This window comes from Homo sapiens, chromosome 6 (assembly GCF_000001405.40).
Source record: "Homo sapiens chromosome 6, GRCh38.p14 Primary Assembly".
Lineage (NCBI taxonomy): Eukaryota > Metazoa > Chordata > Mammalia > Primates > Hominidae > Homo > Homo sapiens.
Genome location: NC_000006.12, coordinates 144624743 through 144649194, shown reverse-complemented (window position 1 = coordinate 144649194; position 24452 = coordinate 144624743). Strand labels below are relative to the sequence as shown.

Sequence of the window (24452 nt, the reverse complement as noted above, 5' to 3'; positions counted from 1 at the left end):
CCTCGTGTTTTGTTTTTTTTAAATCTATTCAAATTTTATCCACCCACTGAGGACCAATTCAATTTCCACCTTCTACTCAAAGCCCTGCATTAAAACCCTAATTCAACAATTCCCTATCCAAATCGGCCATCTCCATTATGCTGTACTGTTACCCTGTACCTTATTTACATGTTGCCTTGGCTTGTTTACAGGTTGTTTTGCCAATGTGCTTTCCCTTCCTTGTCACCCCAAGGGAGTTAAGCTCTTTAAATAATGAAGAAAAAAGTTAAATTTATTTGTTCCTCAAATGACCTATAGAATCCTAAACATAAAACCATTGCTCAATAAATACTTTTTATTTGATATGAGCAAAACAATTTGAATATATTAAAATGATTCACTCTTCATGTTTTGCCATAATAGAAAAGAAAGACATGATCTTGACAGACTTTTACACATTTACAAAGTTACCAAAATAGTCTCCAAATTCAAACTGCAAGTCAAAAATTCTAGGGCTTGATTTTAATCCATCGTTCCATTTTCTAAGGATCCCAAGTTACCCTGCAGATCTGCACTCATCTTAACTCATAAATTGCCCCCAGGACAGAGAGGCTCCCATCTTCCTGTAAATCATTCAAGCTTAACTTCATGATAGAAAACGTTAATTTGATTGTATTTTTTTAGTCATACTTTAAATTTTAAAAGAAAGTGCTGCCCTCTTGTGAAATGAGCTAGAAGATTTATCATTTCACTGACAGTTGTGTAAATACTACAAAGGGATTAAAAGTTAAATTTTAACATTAAAACAAAAACAGGGTTTATCTCAAAGTTGTATGTGTTTCCCCTGAGGTCTCTCCCCACTGTGCTTTTCTGCTCTGTTGGTGAATTTCCCAACCAAACAAGAAATGGATATTAGGGTAAACTGCTCGTCCTTGCACTATAATTGAAAAATAATGAATGAGTGGTGTATTTTCACTCTATTGGGAATGAAAGGCTGTAGTTTCTCTATATTACTGAAGGAATAAAGGGAACAAGAGCCAGCAAAGGAGAAGACGCATCAGTGACAACATGGGAAGACACAAGTCAACTCACTGTCTGACCTTGGGCAAGAGTTTAACCCATACATGCTCTACTCTCAGCTATAAAGTGATTATTTCAACAATATTCCAAACTGTGTAGAGTTGTGTTAATGTTAAGTAAGAAGTATAGGTGACATAAATAGCATAGTGTTTACCATCACACAGTAAGTGCTTATTATAAGTCATTTAAACAATAGGGTCCCTAAGAAAATCTAACAACTGTAATACATGTGGTCCTTTATTCAGGCATTCACTATGTGGCACAGGTACTAGACACCATGAAAAAATACATATGAAAGTATTATTTTACAGGAGCTTCCATTTTGAACTATCCATGTGTGAAAGTTGTTGATACCAAAATGGAATCAATTATGTCAAACCCTAGCAAATGGAGTTGGAAGGCCACGAAGGGGGAGCCCTCACTCACAAATGCCTGTAAAGGCCTTATAGGAGACATTCCCGCATTTACTGCACATTTGCCTGTAACAGGACTTTTAGCAAGGAAATTCCCCTAGACCGCAAAGCTCCAGATAAGCAGCTTGCACAAGGACATCTGTCTAGTAATGACGTCTTTAACAATGATTTGTCGCCAACTCTTACAGCAAGCTCTTGTAACCAATGATCTTTCTGGTTTAACAAACAGTTTATGAAGACTTCTCTTTGTCTTTAAAAGTCTCCCTTTGGTCCCAGTCTCCTTGATGCGCCTGTGATCTGGCTCAGCACACATTTTCTGGGTTATAATCCTCTGCTATTTTCAAATAAACTCCTCTGTTCTGGAGAACCTAAGTTTCTTTTCAGATTGACACATGAAAATACATGAAAAATTATTCCATAGTTTCATGAAGAACAAGTATGAGCAGATTCACAATTGACAGAAATGACCAGTATAAATCCTATGGGCTTTAAGGATCTAATTAAATATATCAGTTCACTCGAAACCTACCTGAGTGACAAATAATGAATTATCTCAATTCTAAGGGTACTAAGAACTAGACAGGAGAAAACAAATACCAAACTGAGTATTATCCAATACAGTTTTCTTTCTTTCCAGAGTGTGTTTTTTGTAATAAGATTTTGCTTTTACTCCTATCCTCTCTTCTGGAATTAGGATGAAGGGAGGATGAGAGATTGGCTGGACAAAATAGCATAGCAAGAGCAGACTGAGCTATTTTGACTATATTTCTAACATCATTAACAAACTTGAGTAACTCACACACTGGTTTTCATTTACCCACCACATTGGGTCTCACATGTAAATAGGTCCATTTACATAAGAATATTAGGAACAGGTGTGCCCATTTTAAAATGTGTTTAAAATGTAGAACATTCTTTGATTTTCGGTACACTGAGGGAGTTGTCTACATAAAGTAATCTTTAGAAAAATTCTTTTGTAATGTAGCAGATCTTTTGTCAAATTAAAAGCCGCCCCCTGATACATTTGCTTTCCCAGTTTGAATTTTTATGTGTGAGAGGTTTTCTTGACTTAGGAAAACCTCCCATTTCTTGATCGGTATTATGATAGGGAATAAAGGAATGTTGGCATGGTGAAGTGAAAAAATGCCTCAAGGAGAGTATGGATCTTATATTTCCTTAATATAATACATATTTTCTCTTTTTAAACAAAATCTCTTTTTAAAAATAACCTGTAAGAATGGAGGAATGACAGTCATGTTGTTCTGTTATTCTAATTAGTTGCTTGTCTGTTCAAATAGTAGACAGCCACAGAGGAACCTAGTAACATTTTGGTGAGCTAACTGTGGAAAAAAGTCTCCAATTAAATGCAAAGAAAGGAACTTAACATGCACACATTTTAAATTAAATAATGCTTTGACTTTACTGGAGTCAGGCAAAACCAGTGTTGACTCATCATACACTTAAGGGAATGCTTCTACTAAATAAATGAAGGTTAAAAAGGTGGAAAAACATGCCTCAATAACTTTTCAAGCCGAATAGAATTGCATGACACTGTAACCACTAATTTTCTTAATCTTGTAGAGGGGGTAGAAGTCTGACAAAGTGAACTGTTAAGTAAGTATACAGTAAAATCGAAGGAGTAGACCTAGGCCTTGTTACCATTTATTTAATCAGGTAAAATAGAATCTGTTTAGTGACCCATATGAAAGATCAACAAGAAAAGGATTTCAAGTTCAGAGAATAAGAGAAATGAACCCCTAGAGTGTGTGCTAAATAATATGTTTTCAATAAAGGTGTGTTGATTCAATGTGATGGACCACTGAATACCATTTTGACATAAATTTTTTTAAAGAGTTGCTTTCTCCCCCACTCCCATTACAAGCAGCCAACTCTGCTCTGACCTCCCACTTTTTGCCAGAGTCAGAACCATGCTTTGAGAAGCCCATAATACTCACATCACCAACACAGCTTTCTCCATACCTCCTGCCACTTTTAAAATTTGTTCTCCTTGAGCCCCAACAGCCCCGTTATACAACACAGACTTCTTGATCATCACCTTTAAGGGTGTCTTCTCCAGATCCTTTTATTTTTTCAGATTCTTATGCATTTCCTCTAACCCTTCAGATTCTGTCTCTTGTTATTAATCAAAAAACTAACATCACCTGTATGTTTGCCACCTTGTCAATTTTGCAAAGTATCGTTTTATGACGTGAATCCTATTTCCATTATTTACCTAAATGTTTGTGTTTTCTCTGTTCCTTCTAAATTGAACTAAGAGGAAAGCCCAAGGAATAATGCAGAAGTTATCTTTGAAGCCAGTGAATTTAAAGACATCTTCAAAACAAAATACTTTATAACAAAACAGTATCTAAGGACTATAAGTATTTTAAAAGATACAATTCTATTGAACTGAATAAACAAAATTATTTTTAATAATTAAAGCAGACACAAATAATTCCTTAGAGTGTCCTTAAGAACAAAAATTACTTGGGAATAGAATCCAATTTAATCCCTGGCATGGATATACCTCCAGGACTTTACAAAATTCTATGCTAATCTCAACCTAAAATAAACAATAGAGGGACCAACTCTCCACAACAAAGAGTTTATTGAGAATAGCAAGAAATTGCAATTCGGGTTATGCTTGCTATGGCCCACCACAGGTGCATGCAAAGAGGCTGAAGCAAGGGGAAGCTTTTGAAAGAAAAAAAGTCCACATGAACTGTTTTGAAACAAAGACCACTGGTTCCAGGAGCTTGTTACAGGAATCCACATTAGCTCATTGATGAAGGCAGCTCTTGTTAGGCAAACTTCCTTGTGCAAGCAGCTTATCTGGAATACTATGGTTCTGAGGAATTTCTTGGGAAAAGTTCCATCATAGGCATACATGTGTGTGCTCCCTTACTTCATGGCCTCCTGGCTCCATTTTATTACTGCTTGGCATAAACCACTCCATTTTGGTACTGGCAACTCTTACATCAACTAAATTCAAATTTATTATTACTCTTTAATGAAGTTGAGATAAAGTTGGTTTCTCTGACAAACTAAGAATTACAAAATGATACAATTTCTTTTTAGAAAAACACTGTGGAAAAATGTAACTAAAACACTGCCAGGGAAAAAAATATAAAGTAGGCCCTAAAAATATATGACTAATATATAGCCAAATATATAATTCCATATACTTTATATTTTATGGCTGTCATAATTATCTCCATTTTTAGAACTTCTTGAGATTATTATGATATTAACAGTTTGTAAAACTAAATCATATTACATGTATAATAAAATATTTATTTTCACTTCTTAATGAGTCAGATAAAAATCATTCATTTGGAATACCCTGGTATTTTATTCAAAAACCCAATTCAGTTTAGAAAAGTATTGAACCTATGTATGAAGCTCTTATATTTTGCATCTCTGGATCCAAAATGACATGTAAGCATCAGCCATTTGAACAAATCAGGGAGATTTTTCCAATACTAATTTTAGAGTTAATTTAAAATGGCATAAGAGGATAAGGATTAGGAATTTTTACTTAACAAGCATTTAGTTCTGTGCATAAGGTTTCTACATAGGCCTACATAGGGTTTTGCTTTTCCTTCACATGTATTGATTTGCTTCAGCAATTGTGGATTCATGCCTCTTATTCATATATTTCCCTGCTTTGCAAAAGTAAATATAAATTAGTCATACGTGATTCAATATTAAGAAGAAAAATTTCCCATCGATTTTGCCTTTTTCAGGAAGATGATGAAAATAATTAACTACATTACAAATGCGACACGACAGAAATATCATGAACTCAATTGTGCAGGTAAAGCAATTTTAAAAAACGTGTGCATGTTTCTAGAAGAATATAGTGCTGCAATTTTTGATCCAGTCTCAGGACCACCTCAGCAAAATTAACAAATTTTTTTTTTTTTTTGAGATGGTGTTTCACTCTTGTCCAGGCTGGAGTGCAATGGCATGGTCTGGGCTCATTGTAACCTCCACCGCCCGGGTTCAAGCGATTCTCCTGCCTCAGCCTCTCAAGTAGCTGGGATTACAGGTGCCTGCCCCCATGCCTGGCTAATTTTTGTATTTTTAGTAGAGATGGGGTTTCACCATGTTGGCCGGGCTGGTCTTGAACTCCTGACCTCAGGTGATCTGCCCGCCTCAGCCTCCCAAAGTGCTGGGATTACAGGCATGAACCACCGTGCCCGGCCCAATTAACACAAATTTTTAACAAAACAAAACTATTTACAAAATAAATAAAAATCTGAACAACATGACTATCCAATACAACCTACTCTCTTACAGGAAAACGTTAAACTCTTTTCTTCTTGTTTTACTCAAATGTAATATTTTAAACCTTAACTTATACTTTGGATACTTACAGTCTCCTTAAAATACATTATTTTCCATTCCTCTCTGATAGACCATAATCTAAACTTTCACCTTTAAAGTCCCCCCTACCAACTTCCATGACTCTTTCTCTAGTTTTAAAATGATAACCACTCATGTATGTTACTTTCTAGTCTCCATCATTTTCTGATAGAGACATGAGCTGTTGACTACCCAGTACCTTTAAGTTTAGCCTTGAACTTTTCTCTCATGCACCGGTAGGTTTTCCAGGACAATCTATTATAAAATAGTAGATACTACTATAAAATAGTAGCTATATAGATACTATAAAATAACAATAATAACTCCAGGAAAAATATCCTGAAGATCAGGATGAAAGGAAGACTGAAGCAGAGGATTTGGGATTCTGATAAACTCCATGGAAAAATAAAAAGTTTATGTAAACTCAGAAGGAGCAAAAAAGTATTAAATTAGGCTCATGGTCAAAATTTCTCTGATTATGTAAAATCTATTTGAGAAGCACATCCAATAATATATTTTACAGTCAGAAATATAATCTACCCAGGGAAATCAATATTAAAAAACCATACCAATATTTATTCCCCCAATTCTAGGGAAGACTATATAGTCAAAATAAAACAACCGCCCTACTGGGGAAAAAAAATCTCCTCCTTCTTGGGCTGGGGAGACTGTGTCACTATTTTGTAATTTCCCCAAAATAAAGAAGGCATTACAAATTAAATAGTTAAGAAAACGTGACGTTGTAGAGTCCCCTGAGAGAGTAGAGGAGGTGGACAGATTTGTGACATTTTATCTCTAGACGAACTTTCCTGTCACTAGTACAAAACAGGAGGAATGGAGCCATTTGCAGCACAACTTATCTGAACAAGGGGAAGGCAAGCACAAAACTTCTCAAAAATCCCTCAAAATGTATTACTTTTGCCTCTTGGGATTAGAGTTAGAAAAACAAAAGATTGCAAACACAAAAAAAGAAGATATTAAGGTGACAATGAAATCAGATTATCAGAAAATGAAAAAGAAATGGCTTGAAATAAGATCTAAACATGACAAGGACAACTAAGACAAAAAATTAGGCTTTATACAACGAATATAATCTCTGTGGACCCACACTACATATTAAATCCACACCTGTTAATTTTGCTGGCTCATAATACTGGGTATTTGTATAAGTAGTCTAAATTAAAGGAAAATTAGCCATAATAAAAAGAGAAGTTCAGACCACGCTTTTGCAGCTTTTTAACTGGGTCAAAATTGGCCAGCCCAAACACAGACAGTAATTAAGAAAATATCATCATCTTTTCAAAAAGGGACATACACTCTATGCCTTGTTTGAGATCTCATTAACTTGGAATAAGTTCTAGTCAAAGACAAACAGGTTTTACATACCTTACTAGATTTTAATTATAGCTAAATATAGTTGCTAATTTCATATTCATGTAAACACTTGCATTGCCTGTGTCAAGATTCCTCAGCAATATTTCTGTGAACTGAAAAGCATAAAGTCAACCAATCACTAATCAACCGCTTTATTCATGGCAATATTATTCGGGTCTTGAGTATTTTTTCCTTAATAACGAGTTCTACTCAATTGAATTTCTAAAAACGTAAGAGAAACTCAAACTCTAAAAGTAGCATTTTGGTATCTACTTAATATAAGCATGGCATCCAGAATCTATAATTACCTTAGGGCCAAGGAATCATTTCCATAATGGGTTATGTAAACCCAAAATAAAACTCTACATGCCCCCCTAACCATCTGAATGGACCAATCCTCTTGGCCAAGGGCGTTCCAGAGTTAACCTGAAAAACTAGTTCAGGCCAAGATGGAAGAGGGGGTCAACATGCCTCATTACACCCCTCCAGCATTAACATCAACACAGACTTTAAGTCTGATATGAAACATCTGTAATCTGTTCTCTCTGAAGCCTGCTACTTGGAGGCTTCCCCAGCAGGATAAAACTTTAGTCTTCACAACCCCTTATTGTAACCCAGACATTCTTTTCTACATTGAATAATTCTTTCAACCAATAGGCAATCAGAAAATTTTCAAATCTACCTATGACCTGGAAGCACCCGTCCCTCCATTTTGAGTTGTCCCACCCTTCCAGATCGAACCAATGTAAATCTTAAATGTATTGATTGATGTATTATGTCTCCCTAAAATGTATAAAAGCAGGCTGTACCCCAACTACCTTGGGTACATGTCCTCAGGACCTCCTGAGGCTGTGTCATAGGTGCATCCTTAACCCTGGCAAAATAAACTTTTTAAATTAATTGAGAACTGTCTCAGATATTCTTGGGTTCAGAGTTATTATCATTGGTAAGAATGAGTTAGGAACCCTAAGATACAATCTAGTGCACAGTTTGTACTACTAATAACTGATCTTCCTCAATTTCAAAGGAAAAAAATCTTTTATTTCACTTTATTTACTTATTAATCTGAAATAAATATTCTTTGTTCAGGAACTTCTGGTCTTCAAATGAAACTGATAACCAAAAGACTGCTGGCATTAAAAACTATTTCAACTACAAAAATTAAAAATTAGTATATTTTAGGTTTCAAAAACAATGAGGATCACAGTTGAGAAGCAGTTCTTTTCAAAACATTTTAATTTATAATATAAATATTGGGACCAAGTTGGCAGACTTTCATACAAACCCCTAATAATAACAGTTGTTAAAACAAGCATTTATATAGCAATTTTCATGAGATCAGAGCTTTGAATAAACAAACATAAACTGTACTCCTGATTATATACCTCCCTGCTCAAATCTGTAAGTTATGAGATACTCTTTAAGGGATAAAAACTTAACACATTTTTTTCTGGCAATTTCTCAATAAACTCTAAATTCATGATCTTAGTACAGAAATATATAAATTGAATGTACGATATCAGTTTAGGAAGACGTAAAATAGAGTTTAGACACTGTAAAGCTTTTGGGGTTCCTTGGTATTATACTAAGGGATACACTTAATGTATCATGTTTGGGACTGGACTTTGGCGGTCCTCTCTAATCTACTCTTTACAATAATTCAATTCCATCTATAATATACTTGATAAGTATATTCCAATTTCTCTTTGCGCATCTGACACAGTGGGGAACTACTTCTCATTAACATTAGATTCCACAATTTGTTCTTGATATTAAGGTGGAGGGGGGAGATGTTTCCACGATATGTCTTAGCTTCCTCTTGTATCACAGAACCAACACATTTTCAAAAGATAATCCTTCCTCTATTTGACTATAACTATCATGATCCCTTGGTTTCTCTCTCTCTCTCTGTCTCTCAATCTCTCTCTCTCTCAAAACCAAAAACACTTTGTTCACTGGGCCATTTTTTCAAATCTTAATGTTGTCTGCATCATCTCTGGCACATGCTGGAGCCTTTCCTGGGAATAGCCTCCCTCTCTCCTGCCCCTGATAATGCCTCATGGCCCTGTGGCCAAGATACTATCAACACATTCTTCAGAATTATCTGCAGACGCTCTTCCCTGGAAAGTCTGCTTTGGCATTTCAAAGCTTTGTTAATGCCCCTCTTCCATATAGAAACTCCCACAGCAACATGGCACAGACAGCCCTAACACAACACAGATCACCTTGTCTGTTTATACAGCTTCATGATTCAAAAAAATACTGAAAATAAAAGCAATAAGATAAGAAAAAAAAAAAGTAAGAAGCAATAAGACTGTGTATTTGATTGATCGGGTGTGGAAAGGAAGAGAAACAATGTATTCAAGAATGATACCTAAATTTCTGGCTTGGGTAACTGAGCAAGATTAACAAACAAGGGAATATACTAAGGGAAACAGATTTGAGTTTTAAAGGGTCTGTTGAATCACGAACTTGTATGTCCAGTGAGCAGTTGCATATAATAATTTAGAGCTCAGGGAGAGTTATGGGATGGAGACAAAGCAAATAGATTGTTACAGAAGCCTGGGAAGCCTGGGAAGAGTATATCCAGTGAAAATGAAAGAGATTTAAGGACAGAAATCTGGAAAATTAGTTAAGTATGGAGCAAAGGAAAGTGAACAAAGAAAAAAAGTGAAAAAAATGGCCAAATGTAGCAATAAAATTAAGAGTATATGACAAATCAAGAGGTGAGGACACTTGAAGGAGAGTATTGTCAGTGTACAATGGGACAGGAAGATAAAATTATGTAAAATCTGGGGAGAGGTAAGCAGTAAGGTCATCAAAGATCTTGGCAATGCCCATGCTGTTGTCACTGATGCAGAACATCATTGCCTTCCTTTTCTTTTATTTTTATTATTTTATTTTATTTTTTAGAAACAAAGTCTCATTCTGTCCCTTAGGCTGGAGTGCAGTGGCAAGATCATAGTTCACTGCAGCCTTGAAGTCCTGGGCAATCCTCCCACCTCAGCCACCCAGGTAGCTAGGACTACAGGCATGAGCCATTCCTGACTAACTTTTTTTAAAAAATTTCTTAGAGATCGGGGTCTCGTTATGTTGCTCATGCTGGTCTTGAATTCCTGGCCTCAAGCGATCCTCCCACCTCAGCCTCCTTGAGTAGCCCCATTGCCTTCTAAAAGGATTATAAGCAATAACTACAATTTAATATATATCATTCTCTCATACAAGAAAAAGAAAATACACATAAAGTATGTGTGCAACTTCCAAAATTAATTTTAAATACCACTGGTAACTCAGAGCACTATTTAGTAACTTTGATTAATTGAAAATCAATTCTGATGTAATTTTCCAAACAGATATACCCTAGACCTAACTTTTTGCTAAGAAAATGGATGTTGTATCACTATGAAATTCTACATACAGTGACAAAGACAGAACTATGACAGACCTATGTTAAGTGACTTCTTTCACTGTTAAACAAAAATTCTAATGATTTACTACCTGTGAATCCCTATTTAAAGGAAGCATCCAGGCCCTAGAGATAAGCAGTCCCAAGAGGAATAAAACCAATTTCACCACATTCAAAACAAAACACTGCAGTCTGAAAGAATGACAAAAAACATGAACTATTTTTTCTATTTAAATACATTTCAAAGAATAAAAACAGTATGAATACATCAACAAGGATGACAGATGCTCAAGAGCTTATCTTCCGAGTATAATGAGCACTGTTTTAAAGAAAAGTCCCCTGTACTTCAAAATTGTTTCAAATGTTTCAACTAGAAAATCATTAGTGGTTTTTTTAAAACAGTGCTCTCATTAGATAAAAAGCTTTTCGGAGTTTATAAACTACATTAACCATTTGGGGTATTTCAGAACTAACTAACATGTTGGAAAAGAAAATTTCCTAAATACTATCTTGATATCTAGAGCTACCAAACACTGAAGCTATACAAATACAGCGTAGTGTCTAACAATGTCTGATGCATAAGGTTAAATATGTCTCTTCTATGAGCCATAATTCCTGAATCCTCCTATTCACTCAAGTTGTTTAAAAGGCTCACGTAAAGAAGCCATAATAAAACTTTTTAAAAAGATTTTTTTAAAAATTCAGAAAAAGAAGAACATTAAATCAGAAAGTGGAGGCTATCGTAGGCAATTATAATTGAGCACAGGGCTCCCAGCAAGTGTAAATGAGCCTGGAGCTCCCTGGCTGCCAAAGCTAACAGAAAAGCAGAAATTAGTTACATCATTACCCAATGTCCATTAGGGTGGAGGGGAAAAGGCAAGATGTTGAAACATATGCCACGTACAGAAAAACACCATTTCTTTTTTTTTTTTTAAACAACGTGTATGTGAATACAAGTGCTTGTATAAAAATACATAAAATTTTCTGGAAAGCTGTATAAGAAACAGTGGTTATTCTGGGTGTGGTACTTAGGAAGAATCCCAGGGCAGGAGACGTTGCACGTTATAACATGTATCTACTACTATAGTTGCTCTTTCAAGAAACGTGCATTATTTCATAGTGTAAAAATCTATATTAGATTTATATATAGTTTATATTAAACTATAATTTTATTTTATAATTTAGAAGTATAATATAAATGAATGTAAAATAATAAAGAAGATAGTACAGGGCAGAGTAACGTAAGGGCCACATAACTACATTAGATTCTGAACATCACAATATGATAGAAATCAAGAAGCACTTGGCTGGGCGCAGTGGCTCACGCCTGTAATCCCAGCACTTTGGAGGGACGAGGCAGTTAGATTGCTTGAGCTCAGGAGTTTGGGAGCAGCCTGGGCCACATGGCAAGACCCTGTCTCTACCAAAAATACAAAAAACTAGCCGGGTGTGGTGGCATGCACCTGTGGTCCCAGCTACTTGGGAGAATGAGGCAGGAGGATTTCCTGAGCCCAGGCAGCAGAGGTTGCAGTGAGCCAAGATCACATCACTGCACTTCAGGCTGGGTGTCAATGAAGACTCCGTCTCAAAAAACAAACAAACAAACAAACAAAAATCAAGAAAGAAGCACGATTTCAACCACCTCATCACAAAATAGTTACCAATAAAAAAAACCTCAAGGCTACTCTGTTACAGTTTGTAATCAAACTTAAAGATAGCTCAAAGCAGAAATCCAATCATGTTCTTTCACAAGACCAGTGAGAGAGAGAATGAGAGTTCAAGAAAGAGAGAATGAACGAAGAAAAAAGAATAAGGAAGATGTAAATGCTATACTGCAAGCAACTATAATCCCAATGTATAGCACTGGAGTGAGCTATAAAGATGACTATTACAATGTCTGCAAATATGTATTAAAATGTCTGGAAATATGAGGAAAAGAATACTTCTGCTGCTAAAATCTATCTTCTTTGTTATCTTCATTATCAAAGGAAAACTTTCTTAGAGAAACCAGCTTAAAACTATTTTTTTTTTATTATACTTTAAGTCCTGGGATACATGTGCAGAACGTGCAGGATTGTTACATAGGTATACACATGTCATGGCGGTTTGCTGCGCCTATCAACCCATCATCTACATTAGTAGGTATTTCTCCTAATGCTCTCCCTCCCCTAGCCCCCCACCCCCTGACAGGCCCCAGTGTGTGATGTTCCTCTCCCTGTGTCCATGTGTTCTCATTGTTCAACTCCCACTTATGAGTGAGAACATGCAGGGTTTGGTTTTCTGTTCCTGTGTGAGTTTGCTGAGAATGATGGTTTCCAGCTTCATCTATGTCCTTGCAAGGGACGTGAACTCATTTTTTATGGCTGCATAGTACTCCATGGTGTATATGTGCCACATTTTCTCTAATTACAAGCATAAGAAAGTATGAAACAAATCATGACGGCTTACACTTCGATGGAATAGAAACTTTTATTAAAAATTTGCAACATACTATACCTTAAAAATTTCCACTTTTAAAAATACTATCACTATTACACTCAATTCTAGGGTACTTAAAATTCATACATATAAATTATAAATAAACACCCAAATACAGTGTCAAAAGTCACCACATTCATATATTTAAAAAAAATAATAATTTTCTAAGAAGTCACAGCCAAAGGAAAGAATGACTAGGTTTAAATATTTCAATAATGTGAATTATTAAATTTTTTTTAAAGGCAGCAGGGGGGCCTAGGCTGGGCACGATGGCTCACACCTGTACTCCCAGAACTTTGGGAGGCCAAGGCAGGCAGATCACTTGAAGTCAGGAATTCAAGACCAGCCTGGCCAAATGGCATAACGTCATCTCTACTAAAAATACAGAAATTAGCCAGGCGTGGTGGCATGCACCTATAGTCCCAGCTACTCAGGAGGCTGAGGTGGGAGGATCTCATGAACCCGAGAGGCAGAAGTTGCAGTGAGCTGATATCGTGTCACTGCACTCCAGCCTGGGTAACAAAGTAAGACTCCCTCTCAAAAAAAAAAAAAAAAAAAAAAGAAAAGAAAAAAAAAAAAAAAGAAAAAAAAAGGCTAGCTGCTAAGTAATACTGAGAAGTCTATGAATTCAGAAAAGGACATTGCAGGCTGGGCATGGTGGCTCACGCCCTTAATTCTAGCACTTTGGGAGGCCAAGGTGGGCAAATCACTGAAGCCTCAGAGTTGGAGAGCAGCCTTGGTAATGTGGCGAAACCCTGTATCTACAAATAATAGGAAAATTAGCCAGAGGTGGTGGTGTGTGCCTGTGGTCCCAGCTACTTAGTAGGCAGAGGTGGGAGGATCGCTTGAGCCCAGGAGGTCAAGGCTGTAGTGAGCCCAGATCATACTACTTGGACTCTAGCCTGGGTGACACAGTAAAACCCTGTCTCATGTCTCCAAAAAAAAAAAAAAAAAAAAACACACAAATAACTGGAGGTTTTAGATTGTTGATTGCCTTTAAAAACCATTTCATACTAGGTGACAATATTCCCATATATACACAAAAGACTAAAAACATATTAACAGGCCTAGCAGTTCTACTCAAGAGGAATAAAACCACACAAAAACTTGCACATAAATGTTCATAGCAGCATTATTCGGAATAGCCAAAATATGGAAACAACCCAAATGCCCATCGACTGATGAGTGGACAAACAAAATGTAGCCTATCCACACAGTGGAATATTATTTATCAATGAAGAGAAAGGAAAGTACCACAAAAGCTACAACATGAACAAACCTTAAACACATGATCCTAAGTGAAAAAAGACAGTCATTAAAGCACTATAAACTGTAGGATTCTATTTATATGAAATACTCAGAATGGCAAACAGAAAGTAGACCCAAGGTTTCCAGCAGCTAGGGAGAAGTAGGGATGCGGAGATAATAGCTACAGGGTGGTGATGGTTGTACAGCTCTATAAATACACTAAATACCACTGAAATGCACAATTTCAATGGGTACATTACTTGGAATATGAATTATATTGCAACAAAGCTTTTACAAAATAAAAAACATATTATCAAGTCAAGATTCTCTTCTATTGTCTCCGTTAATCTTAACCTCATAAACCCTAATCCTGAGCCATTGCTGCCAGAAACAGAAAAGAACTTACGCCATCCCAGCCATGCATCTGTGGGAACATTCAAGTAAAGTCTCCTAGTTGTCACCCACATGGCAACGCTAACCAGGGATGGCCAAAAGATGACCCTGACGGACAGTCACAAGGTGGCAGCTCATCTGAAGGGCCCCCAACTGATACCAGGACTTCTTCACCCAAGCTCCTCAATTCAAGATACTTCAGGGTGGCCCAGCAGTTCAGATTTTCTAAACCCAAGTTCTCATGAGCTATTTACTGGGCTCTAAAATCCTGAATTCTTGATCACTGCGAAGGCAGCATATCCACACATCCCATGCCTGGACTGTCCATGTTCTCACTAGGCACCAGCACCGGCTCGGACACTATGCGTGATCTTATAGTTTGCCTGAATGGGGCTGAACAATAGGAGTTCCCCTGGGCAGCCTGTTCTGACTGCCAGGTTGGGCTTTTTTGCTCAGCTGTGCAGCTAGACATTTAAAAGCAGGCAGAATGCCTATTCCTGCACATCTAATCCAAAAACCTTCTAGCTCATAGGAAACACTATACTAATCATGCTTGAGATTACCAGTCAAGTAGTGAGGAAATATTTTCTGACAAATTGCAAAATATTATTTTTTCAAGTATTTTCAGTTTCCTGGGATTGAATAAAACCATTTTAAAAGAATTTATCATACCGAAGGGAAGGAAAAGAATGAAAACTAGTCTAACAGATAACTAAAAACATGCAGTTAATTCATCAAATAGAATATTAGTGTAGTGCAGCCCATTAAATGGTACTTAGATTGCTTTTCCTTTTGATGACTACTCTGGTGACTATCTGAAAGAAATTGTGTGTTCACTGAGATAATGTACTCACTACAAAACAATACATCATTCAATGCCACACTTCTGAGGAAAAAATATTTTGTGAACAAAATGGAGAAGCAGGCCGGGCGCGGTGGCTCACGCCTGTAATCCCAGCACTTTGGGAGGCCAAGGCGGGCGGATCACGACGTCAGGAGATCGAGATCATTCTGGCTAAAACGGTGAAACGCCGTCTTTACTAAAAAAAATACAAAATATTAGCCGGGCGTGGTTGCAGGTGCCTGTAGTCCCAGCTACTCAGGAGGCTGAGGCAGGAGAATGGCGTGAACCCGGGAGGCGGAGCTTGCAGTGCGCCGAGATCGCGCCATTGCACTTCAGCCTGGGTGACAGAGCAAGACTCCGTCTCAGGAAAAAAAAAAAAAAAAAGGAGAAGTAGTGAGTTATATTTCAAGTTTCCTTACTCCTTAAGAAATGTACTATCTGACGGAATAGGTAAAATAATTATAAATATATATGTCCAATTTATTTTGTTAAATGCCTCATTGCACATAAGCAATGAAGCACTGGCAAAATACTAAATTATGCCAAATATTATTGGTTGTTTAAAAACATACTTTAAAAAGGTAAAAGTTGGGCCAGGCATGGTGGCTCATGCCTGTAATCCCAGCACTTTGGGAGGCCAAAGCGGGCAGATCACCTGAGGTTGAGAGTTCAAGACCAGCCTGACCAACATGGAGAAACCCTGTCTCTACTAAAAATACAAAATTAGCCAGGCATGGTGGTGCATGCCTATAATCCCAGCTACTTGAGAGAATGAGGCAGGAGAATCGCTTGAACCCGGGAGGCGGAGGTTGCAGTGAGCCAAGATCTTGCCATTGCACTCCAGCCTAGGCAACAAGAGCAAAACTCAGTCTCAAAAAAAAAAAAAAAGTAAAAGTTTACAATATAAAAATAAGTCTATTCTTACACAGTATTTCTAACATTTGTGAAAACAAATCACGGGTATGCTCTTGCTGTTAAGATGTAAAAATTAAATAAGACCGCAGGTATCAGAGAAAGGAGTTTCTGCAGTTCAAGACTGAGGACAATATTTTACAAAATTGTACATCTCTGCTGTCAAGAAAGACAATTTATAAAGGTCTGAGTCATGTTTGCTATTATTTCACTTCTCATATTTCTGAAATTTTCAGGAAAAAAAAGTAGAAAAAAAACTGCACCTCAATCTGTCTGTAAGTTTCTATTACTTACTTCCCAGATCTTCAATTTGAGGAGATGTCCCCCATCTTACTGAGACTCTCCAGCCATATTCACAAACGTTTCTCAGCTTTTGATTTCTTTTTCAGTGTCAGTATATTTATAAAATATATTTTAACACTTGGATACAATTATAGAACAGAATATAGACAATATGAATAACCAAAAACCAAATGTTAAAAAAAGAGGATCCATTTTCATAACTTAGTGCAGTTGAGACTTAAGTTGTTTTCACATAGGATGGAATTAAGAGGAAACTGGGTTTTCTCAGTACAACTTTGGTTCCCTCAAGATCATGTAAAAGCTAGATGGTCCCCACAGAATTCAGAAAGCTTTCGGATATGCATGTTCTAATAAATGTCTTTACATTTTTGATGGACCCTGGCGCTTCCCAGGTCCCTTACAAGCCAAGGTATCTGAAAGACTTTTTCTTAACATCCAAAGGGTAGCAATGTCAGTCTTTTACGATAACTCAGAAAAGGTCAGAATTTCTTCACCATGGAAAATTTAGCCTCCATTCCCTCTAAATTAATTTTCCTTCTTTTTCTTTCTTTCCAGAGCATTAGTATGCCTCAGTGAAGTATGACATTATTGTGTTCCGAATGCCAAGTGGAATAACTTATAAAACTTTTTTTAATAGAAGGAAATAGAAGATAGAGCCCAAAGCCCTCCCAAATATGAAATGTGAAAAGAAGTAAATGAGAGGAGAACCGATCCACAGTAGACAAAATGAAATAAAATATTCTACGCTCTTTTGAAATGATGACAAGCACCTCTCTCAACATCCTTGATTACCTGTTAAGTTACCACAATTTTCCAATACATACGCCAAGCTCTCAGCACTCCCTGCTACTCCTTTCCCTCACAAAACCTTTTCTTCCTTAATTATGTATCCCCACAAATTAGTCATTTTTGGAATTTAAAGAATGATGAGCCAAGAGTACTTTAAGAGCTCTCTAAACTAAAACTTCTTTCCAAACTCCCTCTCTTTCCTCCAATATTTGGAATATAAGCTATACAATAAGATATCCTAAGATCAGCATTGCTGGAGTTGGCCAGGTGAAATTAGTGAATGCCAGACAGGAGGTTACTTAGGAATAGTTCCAAGTCATCTTCAAAAGAATAGTTACACACACACACACACACACACACACACACACACCTCTCTCTCTCACACACACACACTCACTCTCTCTTTCTCTCTCTCTCTCTTTTGGTTTTACCTTCAGCAATGCAACCTCAAAAACTTGTACTCCATCCTCATACTAGAAGGGAATATCACTTAGCAGGTTCAGCTACAGACAAGGACAGAGAAGGATCTTTCCACTGCAACTGATATGACACCCTCTGCTTTGCCTCAACCAAGGTCAGGGGACATGACCGCTAATACCACTGCATGTATGAAGGGAAGGCAAAGCAGGGAAGAGAGAAGAACCAAAACCAAAATAATAAAAGTATCTTCTTTCTTCTTCTTTTTTTTACATGCAGATGAAAAAAAAATCTGAAAAGTCTTCTTGGGGTGGTTATTGTGAAAGAGCAGGGCTGAATGAGGGACAAGGAGGGTGACAGTTGCAGCACAGGACACATAAGCAGATAAATACTGAACTCAAGCCTAATCTTCAGGACTACAAACCGAGGAAACATATTAATGGTATGCAGAGTAACTTAAATATGCATATAACAAACTCTCCAGCTCAATTCTATTCAATAAATATTTATTAATGACCTGTTTTGTATCAGGATGATATGGTTTGGCTCTGTGTCCCCATCCAAATCTCACCTTGAATTGTAATAATCCCCACGTATTGTGGGAGGTAACTGAATCAGGGGGAAAGGTTTTTCCCATGCTGCTCTCATAATAGTGAATAAGTCTCACGAGATCTGATGGTTTTATGAAGGGGAGTTCCCCTCACACACTCTCTGGCCCACCGCCATGCAAGACGTGACTTTGCTCCTCCTTTGCCTTCCACCACGATTGTGAGGCCTCCCCAGCCATGTGGAACTGTGAGTTAATTAAACCTCTTTCCTTTATAAATCACCCAGTGTCAGGTATGTCTTTATTAGCAGGGTGAGAACAGGCTAATACACAGGCCCTCAGCAAAGCATGAAAATTAACAAGACTAAGCTCTCCTTTTGAGTGTTAATCCTTCCTATAATATATATGCTTAGTAACTCCCAATCAGAATGCCACTTCATTTTTTATTTATTTTTTGAGATGGAGTCTCGCTCTGTCACCCAGGCTGGAGTGCAGTGGCGAGATCTCGGCTCACTGCAAGCTCCGCCTCCTGGGTTCATGCCATTCTCCTGCCTCAGCCTCCCGAGTAGCTGGGACTACAGGCACCCACCACCACGCCTGGCTAATTTTTTTTTGTATTTTTAGTAGAGATGGGGTTTCACCATGTTAGCCAGGATGGTCTCAATCTCCTGACCTCATGATCCGCCTGCTTCAGCCTCCCAAAGTGCTGGGATTACAGGCGTGAGCCACTACGCCCGGCCAGAATGCCACATTTGAATGCTTTAAAATGTTTTAAACTGTCTTCCATATTCTAGATCTCCATTCTACATTAGCAGGTATGCAATATGCCTAAAATGACACAAATAAATTAAATTACAAAGGAGATGGAATTATCTTTCACATATCTAAATCATGCCATGGCTAAAGCAGAAGCAAAGTTTCAGCTCAGATGAGGAGCACAGTGATTACATGACAACATCTACATTGGAGTTCAAAAGCACCAGGAACAATCCAACAATGCTTAAAGGAATTAGTCTCTAGACTTAAACACTTAGGCATTTAGGATGCAACATCCCTGCTTCCTTGCTGGACATGGAATCACAAGACTCAGAATAGAGGTTACTTTTTGAGAGAAGAAGGGGGATCTGATCAAGGAGGCACAGACAGCTTCTAAGGATCAGCAATAACTTGGAATAGTGATTGTTTTAATTATGATTCTTCATGCTGTCCATGTATGTTTTACATACTTTCCTGTATGTATGCCACACTTTAAAATAAAAGACAATACAGCAAGTATCTCTGGAAGAGCACACAAGAAACTGGCATCGGTGGCTGCCTCTTGCAAGGGCGGTGACAGTCTATGGTCATGATGCGTCATTTAGGACGCAGTACACTAGATTTTTTACTACACATCCTTTTTGCTTTTTTTTTTTAAACTATGTAGCACCTTCTGAAAAATAAGTAAGAGCAAATAAGCAAATATGCTAACACTTTGCTCACGCATGATATTAAGATTCAAGGTAAGCAATGAAGATTTGTATGTCACAGTCAAAGGGAAAGATTTTCAAGAATGTGGATAAGTACTGCTATTGGCCATGCTCAGAATAAAAGAAAATTTCATAAAGAGAGCTACCAATGTAATAATCAATTTTCCATACACAGGGTAATCATTAATCAAATTTAACAGTTGCAGAACCTTATTCCTCCAGCCCAAAGATTTGTCATATTTTACAGGTCCAATGCCACACAGGTTAAATGCCCTGATCAGTTAAACCAGCCCTCAACTCCAGAACCTCCTATCTGCCCGGGCAGTTTAACTCTGTAACAATGACCAATGTATCCCAAAGAGATGAGAGTTGTGAATCGTCAGATCTATCATCCTCAGCCTCAGGGAGCCCCCTGAGGAATCTGAGATTCACCATACTGTAAGAACCCTTAATAGTCACATACCAACCAAAATGGAATCAACAGAATGTTTCTATGCGTTCTTTTGGATGATTCTATTTAGGATATGAGTTAGTAAACCATGAAATCTAGTTCACAGAACAACTCAGAATGAAGGAGCTTTAACTAAAGCATGTCTATTAGAGAAAAAGTCAAGGAAAAGCTGAAAATGTTGGAAGTTCTAAAGAAACACAGTTTAAACAGCTCAGTAGGGCTTCCAAAGAGAAGCATTTCAGTGGAATTCTTGTGGGATAGAAACCAATGGTTTCTGGTGGAAGTTTTAAGCACTGGAGTTCTGCACACATTTCAAAAAAAAGGGGCTAACACCCTCCTCTCAGGAGTACAATAATAAAAGAATACTATATTCATACAGATTTTTCAAAGGAAGTGAACACTGGAACAAGAGCTTTGAGAGGTGAATAAAATATCTGATTAAAACGTCATGTTTATATAGACCCCAAAGAAATGAAAGCAGAGACTAAAACGGATACTTGTACACCAATGTTCATAGCAGCATTATTCACAATAGCCAAGAAGTCAAAACCCAAGTACCCATAGATGATAAAGAGATAAGCAAAATGTGATATATGCATAATAATTAGCCTTAAAAAAGAAGAAAATTGGCCAGGCAAGGTGACTCACGCCTGTAATCCCAGCACTTTGGGAGGCCGAGGCGGGTGGATCACGAGGTCAGGAGTTCGAGACCAGCCTGACCGACATGGTGAAACCCCGTCTCTACTAAAACTACAAAAAATTAGCCGGGAGTGGTGTTGTACACCCATAATCCCAGCTACTCAGGAGGCTGAGGCAGGAGAATCGCTTGAACCCGGGAGACGGACGTTGCAGTAAGCTGAGATCATGCCACTGCACTCTAGCCTGGGTGACAGAGCGAGACTCCACCTCAAAAAAAAAAAAAAAAAAAAACACAGAAGGAAATGCAGAAATGTGCTACAACCTGGATGAACCTTCAGGACATTATGCTAATGAAATAAGCCAGTCACAAAAAGACAAATATTGTATAATTCCACTTGTATAAGGTAAGAGTAGTCAAATTCTCAGGTACAGAAAGTAGAGTGGCCATTACCAGGGATTGGAGGGAAGGAGGAAGTGGGGAATTACTGTTTAATGGGAACAGAGTTTCCGTTTGAGATAATAAAAAAATTCCAGAGATGGCTAATGGTGATAGTTGCACCACTGTAAATGTTTCTAATGCCACTGATTTGTACACTTAAAATGGTTAAAATGCCATATTTTGTATATTTCACCATAGTTTTTAAAAAGATCATATTAACAGAGTTACAAAATAGAGCAATGAATTCAAAGACAGAAAGATAAGGGTTATCAATATTATTAAAAACGCCTCTTATCTGAATCACATGAAGAAACAGAAAGTAAACCGATAAATGAATGTAACAGCTATTACTCCCTTTGACAATGCTTTGGCCTTTACAATGGGAATGACACCATTTAGATGTAATGCCCTTGTGCAAAGCACAACTGTACCCAACATCTTCCTCTTGGAGACAACTCTACCCCCAACCCTACCCCACCCCACCCTCCTATCCCATTCATCCTCCCACTGTGCCATGCTCCTCCCCAGCCCCCTAACCCCCCATCTGCCGCGTAGTGCACACACACACACAGGTAGGGCAAAAGGTTACTGAATGGGGCCTAAAACTAGGTCAGTGTTTTGTTTGTATATATCAAATCTTATTTCTCAATGATCTACAAAGACATAAGATATAAACCAGAGGCTGCAAACTGAAATGCCTAAAAGAGACATGCAGGTAACACAAACGCAGACTGTGATTTGTGTATAAGAAAAGCCACAACACCAGGTGGATCACAAGGTCAAGAGATCGAGACCATTCTGGCCAACACGGTGAAACGCCATCTCTACTAAAAGTACAAAAATTAGGTGGGCGTGGTGGCGCTTGCCTGTAGTCCCAGCTACTCGGGAGGCTGAGACAGGAGAATTGCTTGAACCTGGGAGGCAGAGGTTGCAGCGAGCCGAAATTGTGCCACTGCATCTCTAGCCTGGGCGACAGAGCGAGACTCCGTCTCAAAAGAAAAAAGAAAAGCCACAACACAAACTTGCTACAGAGGCAGCAATCTCAGTGTTGGGGGAAACTGAGTGGCCTGTAGGCAGCTGTGGACATGTGCAAACCCACTGTAACCAAATCTACCGATTTTTCTGCCTTAAAAGAGGAATTATTTCTAACTCATGAAGGTGGAGTAGAATTGGAGAAATGCAGAAAGGCGGGGAGGAAAGCGGATTCACGTTTGAGGTCGGAATGTCATTTGGGTTCTTCTCTAGTCTGGCCCTTGACCAGTTGCGAGAGGGAAACTGATTTAAAGGAGATTGGAGTGATACTTTGTGCCCAGAAAACCTGCAGACGTCTCTGAAAGCCATGCTTGGGATAACAAACTATTTATTACTGACCCTGTGATAAGGAGAGTTTTTCAGATGTTTGTTGAAATAATTTTTGCAGTACCATGGTAAACAAACTGAAAAGGTGAGAGATAATAGACTAGTTTAAAAATGTAAATCAAGATTTGCATGAATTCTTTAAATAAACACCCATCACTGCTTAACATATTTTTAATTAATAACTATACAAGTCCATATTTGCTTTCTTTGAAAGTATGAGGCAATGAAAATAAACTACTGGTCACTGTCAGCCCCTAATTTCTGTGATACAGCTATAGAAATATTGTCTGAAAGAAAACTGTTTGATCGGTCCAGTGTCAACAGAAACTTTTCAGCCAGAAACTGATTTTTTTTCCTTCTTTTCAAGCTTAGAACAAGGCTTTATAAAATCTCCAGTTTTGTTTATGTTTTCAAAACAATTAAACATCATTTGATGTTTCTCAATTATTTTTGTCACATAAAAGGAAGATGAAATATATTCAACTGGCCCCATGAAAGCAAAAACAATCTTAGTAAGGCTGTGCTTTAGGTTTACTTCTGTGGTACAGAAGGTAAAGATTCTAATAAGTAATAGAGGACTAAGGGGCCCTAGGGAAAATATGTAGAGCAAATCAATTCATAAGTATTTGCATTAGCACATTCCTTCATAAATTTGCCAGCTTCTCACTGAACATGGCACCAATTTATCTCAGTCCTCCGGCTTTTCAACCACTTCCTTTGAAAAATCTAAATGAATTCTAATGGTTGTGATTTTAGACCAGTATTCTTTACATGCCAAAATAAACAAAATTCTTTCAAGTTTTTAATTCTGAAAACCAACAAAGTCAAGAAGTCGCAGGTAAGTTAAGGAATCAAATATGCAGATAAATACCTCACAAACAGATTATCCCATCAAATTTCCATGGAAAGCATAAACCATAAAAATCCAACTCAAAATAGTATAATTACATAGCTTTCCATAAGACAGGTAGCCAGTAAGGGTATCTAAAATATTGATGAAGGCAAAAGACAGTTATTTTAACAAGAAACTGATTCTATTAATTCATTGTTGACCTAGAATTACAGAAGTCTGCTGTGGCTGCTCCATATTTGAAACGTTACATTCACTGGTTTCTTTACAGGGGGCATCACACTATTTCTTCCAGACGTGTGGATATTTTCTTCCTAATGAAAGTACTTCATTAGGGCCTTTATTGCCAATCCAATAATTCAATGTTAGTAGCCATTAGAGTGCCTTAATTTCAATTTTAGCCACTGCTGTGGAAAGTGAAATGGAATTTCAGAAGCACTATTTTCCTCTGTTATAATGGTCATCTTGTCCTCTCTTCTGACTCTGCCCTCAGAGAAAACACATTCCGCTCTCTTTTCTAAAAAGAAATCTCTGTCTCATTACTCCCTCAACGTATTCATGGTATTTGATTTCACTGTCAAAAACGATCTAGACTCACTGCCTCATCAAGCATTGATTTTTAATCTAAGTTCCTAAGGCTATTTACTGAAATGCTCTCGTAAAGACCTGACTTCCTATCCTATCTTAGTACTGTATC

The 24452-nt window shown here is 37.5% G+C and overlaps 1 protein-coding gene across 2 annotated transcripts in view, besides 1 other annotated feature; it reads right to left on the bottom strand.

Moving 5' to 3' along the window:
* Positions 1-24452, bottom strand: part of UTRN (utrophin) — a 567700-nt gene that overhangs the window by 203840 nt on the left and 339408 nt on the right. The gene's annotated exons all lie outside the window — the stretch shown is intronic.
* Positions 648-942: an enhancer, noted in NCBI's record as "tiled region #2668; HepG2 Activating DNase matched - State 5:Enh". NCBI's record gives its function as "activates a minimal TATA promoter and a strong SV40 promoter by Sharpr-MPRA in HepG2 cells {active_cell/tissue: HepG2}" and the evidence as "EXISTENCE:reporter gene assay evidence [ECO:0000049][PMID:27701403]".